Source organism: Homo sapiens, chromosome 8 (assembly GCF_000001405.40).
Source record: "Homo sapiens chromosome 8, GRCh38.p14 Primary Assembly".
Taxonomy (NCBI): domain Eukaryota; kingdom Metazoa; phylum Chordata; class Mammalia; order Primates; family Hominidae; genus Homo; species Homo sapiens.
In genome coordinates this window covers 121122168-121134267 of record NC_000008.11, presented here as the reverse complement: position 1 = coordinate 121134267, position 12100 = coordinate 121122168, and positions in this window count along the sequence as shown.

Genomic DNA, 12100 nt, shown 5'->3' with positions numbered 1-12100 from the left:
AGTCTTGCTCTTCTTTCCCATTGGCTTGTTCTTCCTTTTTCTGGCCATAACTTTTCCATCATCCTTGCACTCCAATCTGCCTGACACCTGGATGCACTGATTTTTGCTTTGGAATGAAAATAATAGCTTCTGAGTTCAATTCTTGTCAACTCATTTTTCAATGTGTATGAGTTCTGAATTCCATTATATCATCCAAGGCTCAGAGTTCAGAGGTGGACTCCACCAGTCATCAAACTACATCATCAAGATATACTTCACTTTCTTCCTCTGTGAAATGAGAGTGCTGATCTATAATAGAGATCCTAAATTCAAATGTCGTTTGATACCCATAGATAAAGGAAAGGAGAAACTACTAGAGGCACTGTCTGATACAAGACAACTGGATATGACAGGGATTTAAAACTGAGAAGGCATGTCCTACTCAAAGTCATTTATTAGCTCAGCAAAATCTATCTGCAAGCTCCTTATCCGAAGACTGGCTTTAGCTGACAGTTTGTAAGCTGAGCGATAACTTAAGCCCTGCCATTCTAAAAACCTTAGTTTCCCCCAGCTACAGTTTTATCCCCTGAAAAATTTCCCCTTAACTGATCAATATTTAGAATAGAATATTCCATATAATATGATGAAAGGTGAGATATAACTTTATAAATCACACTAGTCAGCCTTTTGCTCACAGATGGAGATATCACATTAGCAAAGAGCTGACTTATTAGTATGGGGCATTTACTTGAGTAGTAGTAAATATATGAATGCATTGCAGGAAGGTTGTAACAAAACTTTTGTGGCCTGAATAAATACAAATTCTTAAAATACTGTTTGCTTTTATAGTGCTGGAATTCAGAGAAAGCTGGAGAAACATGCAGAGATGACAATCACTTCAAGGAAGATGACTATCAGCATGTCTTTTCCTTGACCTTCACCATTATTAGATTATGTCTGATGGTTTGAGATGGACTTGGCTGGCAGGAAAGGCCAAAAGGAGCATAAGGAGTCTTAGCTGTTGGCCTGCTCTCAAACATGGGACCAAGGGTTTTGAGAGCAGGCCAATTACAACACAGTGTGTTGAGGTTGTAGCCACATTGACATGGTGGTATGCTTGAGAGACAGCGGCTAAGGAGGTAAGTATGAATAATTATAGAATAATCTATACTGTTAAAACCTAAATCTCAAGAACCCTATGGTCAGTGCAGGAATCTACATCAACAGTGCTATCATAGATACTTTTAGAACTGTGCTAGACAGTCTTCAGCAGCAACACCTAGTGGCAACTACAGCAGTAGTAGACTGATCTCACTCTCCAATCTCTCATTACTTTGCATTTGAAGGACAACTAATCAAATACCATTTAAACTATATAAGTCCAGGTGTTCTCGGGAAATTGAAAGTGGAGAATGCCTCTAGAAGAGGAAAAGATGATTCTTGTGATAATGTGGGAATGTTGGCTCTTGAGCAAAAATTTTAAAACTGAAATAGGTTGGATCAGTTAGTTATTATTACAATAAGGCTGTGCAGTGCATGGCATTTCAATAGCATTCAGCAATAAGCATTCTTACAGGTTAATGTGCTCACTGGAGTTCAGCTGATCTAAGCTGAGCACAGCTAGGCCACTTTGCTTCTCATTGCAGATCTGCAGGTGAGCTGAAACCGCTTTATTCTACATGCCTCACGTCCTTCTTGGACTATCAGGCTAGCCATGGCATGTTCCTCAAATAGTAGTGGTAGAGGCGCCAGAGGGGAGATTCAAATGCACAAGTATATTTTAAGACCCTACTTGTGTTATGTTTTCTAACCTCCTATTAGCCGTGAAGCCCTGTGGCTGAGCTCAAAGGGATGGGGCAGAAAAGTGTATTCCTTCCATAGAGGAACAGAAAAACTTGCATGGCAAAAGCATAAAAACTCAAAGCCAATAACTGAATCTACAACAGATGTGAGCATATTTTATATCCTGAATTGAGGAAAATGGCTTAACAGATAATTACAGATTTGGATGAGCTTCAAGGTTTTATACAATGCTTGTAAAATAAAACACATTGCTTTTTGCTATATTGATATGAGGTTTAAAAAAGTATAAAAGATCTGATGTGTGATGTGTATTTATGTTTATATACACATACATACTTAGAACAAATGTAAGTTGAATTCTATGGCTGAGGCTATAAAGGATCACCAAAGATCCACGCTTCCCCTTTAATATATAGAGTTGTTACTAGGAAGTGGCTCCATATCCAGGAACTAAATTTCCAGTCCTCCTTGCATCTAGGTGGTGTCACGTGACTAGCTTCTGTCAATGGAATAGAAATAGAAGACGTGGTAGCTCAGGTCAGCGTAGGTGAGAAGTAGATATCATTTCTCTACCTCTTCTTCCCCATTTGCCAAGTAAATGCAGAAGACCCAATCTGACAACTTAGTCACAAGATGGAACAAGTGTAGGTCTCTCAATCTTGTGGAAGCCCACCAGAAACTCTGTTACATGAATAAGGAATGAGCCTTTGTAACCAAATACACCATTTTCCTAAAAATTATTTTTACCCCTTCTCTTTTCCCCTGTGCACTCACCTACCTCTTACTTAGCACCTTAGAAATGCAATTGTAACCTTTACCTCCTCTCCACCAGGCACTCCCTGCACTGCGAGATCAACTAATTATCTGTTTGCTTAGAAGTTCCAGGGACCAAATCTTAAAACAAACCAGTCACCCTCCAGAATTCTCCCCCACCAAGAGATTGCCTCACTACAATAATAATTTTACAACCCAATTCTGCCAGCAGTGGTGCTGGCCAGACCATCAGATGGCCCATTACTAAGATAAGCCATTAGAGCCAGTCACGTAGACCCCACACCTCCTCACCCCTCCTGCATGCCCTGTGTACCAAAATTTCTCTTCTTAAGCCCCTGCTTTCTGCCCAGAAATCTGAAGTGGTTCCTTTGGATGCAAAACTGGCCACTTCCCCAATGCTAAGCTCTGGAATAAAGTTGCTTTGTTCTTACCACTTCTCATCCTTGTCATTCAGCTTTACAAACATCGAGCAGCTGAGCCTGTGCTCAGCAACACCTCCACTGTGTTTATTTTATGCCATTCAACTGGGGTAAGAATTCCTTACAGCAACTTACAAGTTATATGGAGAAGAGGCTGAAGCTCCTCTTCCCACTGTCAAGAATTTATAAAGAAGATAAAATAATCAAAGAGAACACTTACTGCATATTTATCACGTGCAAGGCTTTTAACTAAATATATCACACAGTTAAATGTTTCAGACCTGTGATATGGTTTAACGGGGTATAGCGATAGAGTAGAAAGAAGCTGATTGCTCCAACATCTGCTACGTTGAACTGTGCAAATAGTGGATGAATAAAAAATAGTAAAAACTCTTTATTTTGATATGGTGAGATATCCATGGAGACTGTAGAACCATGTGAAATAAGTCAGAAACAGCAAATTCAGGACACTTTACAATAGGATCTGTAAATAAACTTAAACAAAGGAGGTGTCTGGTGCTCCTAGGAGAGTGCAAGTGTAAACATATAAATGTTCAGTAATTATTAGGATTGGGCTACTGGAATCTTAAGAAACTATCTTAGGGAACCCACTCTTACTCATGGTACCTGAACCCTAGACCACCCCAATGGGCAGAGTTGACCATATTATGGATAGAAGGTTGTAGATTATATGGTTGTTGAGGAAAACGTGAGGACTGGAGCCCATATTTTCTAGAAAGCATGAGAGAATTAAGTTTCTGTTAGTGGTGGTGATGGTGGTGGTGGTGTTAATTGCCAGAGATGCTAGAAACTGCTAAAACTTTCTGTATAGAAAGAAAAAAATCTTGGAAGTATTATTTTTGTGCTTTTCTTTATTTCTCACATTTCTGGACGTGTCTGCAAGTCAACTTCAAGAATTAGCATTTCTATAGGAATGCAAAAAGGAAAAAGTAGCCTTTTATTTTTACTAGCCAAAACAGACACTTGCAATCAAAAGGCAAAGCACTGAGTCAAGAGAATGGAACTTAGAAATATAGGAAAGATATGTGTACTGTATAAGAAGTGGACACACAGGAGGACCAAGGAGGATCTTGTATAAATATTTTCCCAAGAAAACAATGTAAGAGAAATTCCTCATTTATTCTGTTGGTGGCAATTCTAAACTGAGACTGTCAGAGGGAGGGCTAAGGATAATTCACTATTTTTAACCAAATCACCAGCTATTTCTGGCATTCTAGTGTTAACAATTGCCGTTATGCTCATTCTCTCCAGAAGAAAACCACAGGAAATTTGTAAATTAACGGACTGTTCCTCTCTGAAACCTGGACCCAGAGGTTTGGTTGTCTTTAGTTCCCAGGACTCAGATCCTTTCAGCATTCTCCTTTACAAATAGGCAGAAATCAGCCAGCCTCATAAAGAGGGATGACGCCATTCCAAAAACAATTTAATAGTGGGCATTCTCATTTCTCCTCTGTCATGCCTTTGGCTTGGAGAATTGTTTTGAAACTTCAACAAAATGAGGTCGACCATGTCAGGGGAGGATTCCTTCCTTAGTAGCAGTTCGAATTTTAAAGCAAACAGACCAATCCATTTTGTAAGAATTACGGAGAAGCTTGCTTAGAAGATAAATCAAGTTCGCCAAATGGTAAAGTATAATAGATGATATCCCTTGCCAGAATTTTTTCTCTCACCCAACTGGCACAGGCCATATGGTCCTTTAACACATATGTAGCTTAGATATAGTAAGAAGTGGCAGTAACCAATTTTGTTATTTTTCTTCATTTCCTGAATTAGTTTCCTAAGGCTATTTTAGCATACTGGTACAAATTTAATGGGTCAAAACACACACATTTATTATCTTAAATTCTGAAACTCAGGAGTTCTAAATAGGCCTTTCTGTACAAGCAGGGCTGCATATTCTCTTTTTTTCTGGAGGAACTATAGAAAAATCCATTTTCTTGCTCTTTACAACTTTTAGAAGGTGCTTACATTCCTTGGCCCACGTCTTCCTTCCATCTTCAAAGCCAGAATTGGTCAGTTGAGTCTTAAACCAAATCACCCTGACACTGACTCTTCTGCCTCTCTCACAAATATTTAAGGATGTTTGTGAATACACTGGGCCCACCTAGATGATCCAGGATGGTCTCCCTATTTTAAGGTCGTTTGATTAGTAACCTTAATTCCATCTGCAACCTTAATCCCTCTTTTCCATGTAATACACCATATTTATGAATTCCAGGGATTAGGTCATGAATATCTTTGGGAGGCCATTATTCTGTCTACCACATTCTTCTTGTCAAATGATGTTGTACAATTTGTTCTTCTCTTCCCTGGTTGAAATCTTAGTCAGGCCACATAGGGTTTTCCAGTTTCTTAATAATTTAAGTAATTTTAAAGTATATGCCCTATGAGTTTATTCTCAACATTCCTAACTGATATTCAATTTTAACCTTTCCTATCTCCCTAATTATGCCCGCCACAGGCCTAGAAACTTGGAGTGGGAAGGGAGATGGGTATATGACTGACTTCAATTTGCTTCTTTATTACCTTCTCCCCATATCTACAGCTGCTGCTTTCTACCTAGCCAGGCTCATGGAGGAAAAGCACTGTATTACAGACTTGCAGAGTTGTCTTCAGGCATTGATGCCCATTAATGTCAGATGCACAATTACTAGCTCTTTGTTTCATTGGTTGCTTGTGCAGGCTCCTTGAAGATCCTCTACTGGGAACCTCTTCCTGCAGTTCCCATGATATGGTCAATGTGCCCCCTTAGGAAGCTTTTTATAACTCCTTTTACAAAACTGGGGTTCTAGAATTCTTCCCCTCCTGTTGGGGTCATATGGAACCTCCAGACAGTCAAATTGGACAGTTGACCTAGGCCAGCTCCCTTTCATTGTAGAAATACAGGTTGGTCCCAATGCTGCTCTTAAGAAAATCCAGTCATATCTTATGACATTTAGACTTGATACATAATGCAGAAGTTTACCAAACTCCAAGAGGCTTTTGTGAACCACTCTAAGTGGTCCCCTTGAAATTCTTTTCATTGGCTTAAGGTAAGATAAAAGAACACTTCCCTCCTTGATGAACATGGAACAAAAAGAAATAAAACAGATGCAATGCTTTTCAGAATTGTCCCTTTTGCTTACTTCTATCAGTTTCTTAACATGCAGCCAAGAATGAGTGGGATAAGGGTGGGCAGAATGTTTTGCAATTCTTTTAGCATGCCATGAACAAGAAGTTGAGCATATGCACCCAACTTATGGGATTGTTCCTGGCACCCATTGAATTGGGCTTTGGTGCCTCAGTGGAAAGAGATAAACATCTATATCTGTATCATCATTATCTATCTATATTTTATAGCAAAATTATATTTATGTAAGTATAACAGGGCATATTAAACAAATTGTTAGGACATTGGCATTGCTAGTGTAGAGAGCCTCACCCCAAGAATATTATTATTATTAATTATCATTAGAGATGGGGTCTTCCTATGTTGCCCAGGCTAGAGCACAGTGGCTATTCACAAGCATGATCATAATGCACTGCAGCCTCAAACTCCTGGGCTCAAGTAACTCTCCCACCTTAGCCTTCCAAGTAGCTACAGGTGTGTACCACCAAGCCTGGTCCCAAGAATATTTTTTGAGACCAGTGGGTTACATAAATCTTTTGTTTATAACCAGAGAAAGAGGAAGATTTTGGTACAGGGCCAGGAGAAGAGGGGAAGTGAGAGAGAAAGATACTAAAAAGCAAAAGTATGAAATGGTTTCTGTCCCCTTTCCAGCCCCTGTACTACTATCCTGCCTCCCTAGTATTTAGAAGGGTGTGGGCAGAGAAGATATTATGCTGAGACACATTTTTTGGAGACTCTCGTCAAAAACAATGTTCATCTAGAGCCAAGTTGACAAATCTTGGCACAGAGTGGAAAAAAAGTCATCTTTGTCACCTCTACTTTGAATCTACCACCACTTTGGCATTTGATGGTCTAGTCACTCTGTAATTGGGAGATAGCACTCCAAGCATGGTCACTGTTATTCTCACATGGGCACAAAAGCAGTGGCAATGAGATAAGCAGCCCACAATAAATCTGAAAAAAAGAGGATTTAGTAGATCCTGTATGCTGAATACATGCCAAGGAATAGATTCTACATGCTAAGGTAGGAAGCTTAGTGGTATAGACTAAGTTAAAATACTTTGGATTATTGATGTGAACATGACTTTATTTGTAACACAAAACAAGAAAGAGTAGGGACATTTTAGATACGTAGGATTTTACAGTTTACAAAAGCTTATCACATTATTTCAAGTAACTAAAGAATAGGCAGATTGTTAAGCAAGTTGGATGAAAGACAAATTAAGAAGCAATCACACTTAGGCATAAGATTGTACCACACATTTAATACACTGAATTAACCATGCAAGACTTTTACTTTTGTGCATTCAGCAGTTCTTCCTGAGGATTATGTTCATAGGACCCGCAACTTTGAAACAGAGAAACAATTCACTGAGTGATTCAAGTATTTAAAAAATAAGAATCACTTATAACACGCACACACAAATCTCTAGTCACTGGACTGAATTTTCAGTTTGTGCCCAGATATGCAGCACTACACAGCAGAGATCTGTTCTGAATTATCGTGGGCAGGAGTCATGAGACTCAGATACACCTACGTCACCCACATATTGTTTTAGAGCCTTCCCTTTGATAATTGCATCGTCTAGAAACTGAACGGCTTGGTAGAGAACTGAGGAAGAAAAGTGAGTTTATAAAGTCTATGAGGTGTTCTGAAGAATAAGGAGAAAGAACACAGGAAAAGAAAATGGAAAGATCAGATTATTTTCAGTACTAAATACACATTTTGAATAGAATACCTGTCTATTAATGACTATTAAATATTCCTAAAACTATAACATTGGCCTGCTGTTTCTTTTGAATTTCCACTCTGCTACTGGATTTCCAGTCTGCTTGTCTCTTCCGCCTCTCTGACTGTATTCTCAGTGCTGTTCCATGACCCCTTTTATTTTCTGACCTCCTGTTAAATGTAAAAAGTCCTCAAAGTTCTGTGCTCTGTTTTTTCCTCTTCCTTCCTAAGCAATAGTTCTAGTCAATGTCTCACACCAATGATTTTGACCATTGTATGATCCATAAAGATCTCATATCCAGGGCCAGGTGTGGTGGCTCATGCCTGTAATCCCAGCACTTTGGGAGGCAGAGGCGGGTGGATCACCAGGTCAGGAGATCAAGACCATCCTGGCTAACACAGTGAAACCCCGTCTCTACTAAAAATACAAAAAAAAAAAAAAAAAAATTGGTCTATTCAGAGATTCAACTTCTTCCTGGTTTAGTCTTGGGAGGGTGTATGTGTCGAGGAATTTATCCATTTCTTCTAGATTTTCTAGTTTATTTGTGTAGAGGTGTTTATAGTATTCTCTGATGGTAGTTTGTATTTCTGTGGGATCGGTGGTGATATCCCCTTCATCATTTTTTATTGCATCTATTTGATTCTTCTCTCTTTTCTTCATTAGTCTTGCTAGTGGTCTATCAATTTTGTTGATCTTTTCAAAAAACCAGCTCCTGGATTCATTGATTTTTTGAAGGGTTTTTTTGTGTCTCTATTTCCTTCAGTTCTGCTCTGATCTTAGTTATTTCTTGCCTTCTGCTAGCTTTTGAATATGTTTGCTCTTGCTTCTCTAGTTCTTTTCATTGTGATGTTAGGGTGTCAATTTTAGATCTTTCCTGCTTTCTCCTGTGGGCATTTAGTGCTATAAATTTCCCTCTACACACTGCTTTAAATGTGTCCCAGAGATTCCGGTATGTTGTGTCTTTGTTCTCGTTGCTTTCAAAGAACATCTTTATTTCTGCCTTCATTTCGTTATGTCATTCAGTAGTCATTATGCTTTATGCTTTATGACTAGTAGTCATTAGTCGTTATGCTTCAGTAGTCATTCAGGAGCAGGTTGTTCAGTTTCCATGTAGTTGAGCGGTTTTAAGTGAGTTTCTAAATCCTGAGTTCTAGTTTGATTGCACTGTGGTCTGAGAGACAGTTTGCCATAATTTCTGTTCTTTTACATTTGCTGAGGGGTGCTTTACTTTCAACTATGTGGTCAGTTTTGGAATAGGTGTGGTGTGGTGCTGAGAAGAATGTATATTCTGTTGATTTGGGGTGGAGAGTTCTGTAGATGTCTATTAGGTCTGCTTGGTACAGAGCTGAGTTCAACTCCTGGATATCCTTGTTAACTTTCTGTCTTGTTGATCTGTCTAATGTCGACAGTGGGGTGTTAAACTCTCCCATTATTATTGTGTGGGAGTCTAAGTCTCTTTTAGGTCTCTAAGGTCTTGCTTTATGAATCTGGGTGCTCCTGTATTGGGTGCATATATATTTAGGATAGTTAGCTCTTCTTGTTGAATTGATCCCTTTACCATTATGTAATGGCCTTCTTTGTCTCTTTTGATCTTTGTTGGTTTAAAGTCTGTTTTATCAGAGACTAGGATTGCAACCCCTGCCTTTTTTTGTTGTCCGTTTGCTTGGTAGATCTTCCTCCATCCCTTTACATTGAGCCTATGTGTGTCTCTGCATGTGAGATGGGTTTCCTGAATACAGCACACTGATGGATCTCAGGAAGAAGTTGAATCTCTGAATAGACCAATAACAGGCTCTGAAACTGAGGCAGTAATTAATAGCTTATCAACCAAAAAAATTCCAGGACCAGACGGATTCGTAGCTGAATTCTACCAGAGGTATAAGGAGGAGCTGGTACCATCCCTTCTGAAACTACTCCAATCAATAAAAAAAGAGGGAATCCTCCCTAACTCATTTTGTGAGGCTAGCATCATCCTGATACCAAAGCCTGGCAGAGACACAACCAAAAAAGAGAACTTTAGACCACTATCCTTGATGAACATCGATGCAAAAATCTTCAATAAAATACTGGCAAACTGAATCCAGCAGCACATCAAAAAGCTTATCCACCATGATCAAGTGGGCTTCATCCCTGGGATGCAAGCCTGGTTCAACATATGCAAATCAATAAATGTAATCCAGCATATAAACAGAACCAAAGACAAAAACCACATGATTATCTCAATAGATGCAGAAAAGGCCTTTGACAAAATTCAACAACCTTCATGCTAAAAACTCTCAATAAATTGGGTATTGATGGGTCGTATCTCAAAATAATAAGAGCTATCTATGACAAACCCACAGCCAATACCATACTGAATGGGCAAAAACTGGAAGCATTCCCTTTGAAAACTGGCACAAGACAGGGATACCCTCTCTCACCACTCCTATTCAACAGAGTGTTGGAAGTTCTGGCCAGGGCAATCAGGCAGGAGAAGGAAATAAAGGGTATTCAATTAGGAAAAGAGGAAGTCAAATTGTCCCTGTTTGAAGATGACACGATTGTGTATCTAAAAAACCCCATTGTCTCAGCCCAAAATCTTCTAAAACTGATAAGGAACTTCAGAAACATCTCAGGATACGAAATCAATGTGCAAAAATCACAAGCATTCTTTTACACCAATAACAGACAGAGAGCCAAATCATGAGTGAACTCCCATTCACAATTGCTTCAAAGAGAATAAAATACCTAGGAATCCAACTTACAAGGGACGTGAAGGACCTCTTCAAGGAGAACTACAAACCACTGCTCAATGAAATAAGAGGATACAAACAAATGGAAGAACATTCCATGCTCATGGGTAGGAAGAATCAATATTGTGAAAATGGCCATACTGCCCAAGGTAATTTATAGACTCAATGTCATTCCCATCAAGCTCCCAATGACTTTCTTCACAGAATTGGGAAAAACTACTTTAAAGTTCATATGGAACCAAAAAAGATCCCACATTGCCAAGTCAATCCTAAGCCAAAAGAACAAAGCTGGAGGCATCACACTACCTGACTTCAAACTATACTACAAGGCTATAGTAACCAAAACAGCATGGTACTGGTACCAAAACAGAGATATATACCAATGGAACAGAACAGAGCCCTCAGAAATAATGCCACATATCTACAGCTACCTGAACTTTGACAAACCTGAGAAAAACAAGCAATGGGGAAAGGATTCCCTATTTAATAAATGGTGCTGGGAAAACTGGCTAGCCATAAGTAGAAAGCTGAAACTGGATCCCTTCCTTACACCTTATACAAAAATTAATTCAAGATGGATTAAAGACTTAAACGTTAGACCTAAAACCATAAAAACCCTAGAGGAAAACCTAGGCAATACCATTCAGGACATAGGCATGGGCAAGGACTTCATGTCTAAAACACAAAAAGCAATGGCAACAAAAGCCAAAATTGACAAATGGGATCTAATTAAACTAAAGAGCTTCTGCACAGCAAAAGAAACTACCATCAGAGTGAACAGGTAACCTACAAAATGGGAGAAAATTTTTGCAATCTACTCATCTGACAAAGGGCTAATATCCAGAATCTACAATGAACTCAAACAAATTTACAAGAAAAAAACAAACAACCCCATCAACAAGTGGGCAAAGGATATGAACAGACACTTCTCAAAAGAAGACATTTATGCAGCCAAAAGACACATGAAAACAATGCTCATCATCACTGGCCATCAGAGAAATGCAAATCAAAACCACAATGAGATACCATCTCATACCAGTTAGAATGGCAATCATTAAAAAGTCAGGAAACAACAGGTGCTGGAGAGGATGTGGAGAAATAGGAATACTTTTACACTGTTGGTGGGACTGTAAACTAGTTCAACCATTGTGGAAGTCAGTGTGGCGATTCCTCAGGGATCTAGAACTAGGAATATCATTTGACCCAGCAATCCCATTACTGGGTATATACCCAAAGGATTATAAATCATGCTACTATAAAGACACATGCACACATATGTTTATTGCGGCACTATTCACAATAGCGAAGACTTGGAACCAACCCAAATGTCCAACAATGATAGACTGGATTAAGAAAATGTGTCACATATACACCATGGAATACTATGCAGCCATAAAAAAGGACGAGTTCATGTCCTTTGAGGGACATGGATGAAGCTGGAAACCATCATTCTCAGCAAACTATCACAAGGACAAAAAATCAAACACCGCATGTTCTCACTTATAGGTGGAAATTGAATAATGTGAACACATG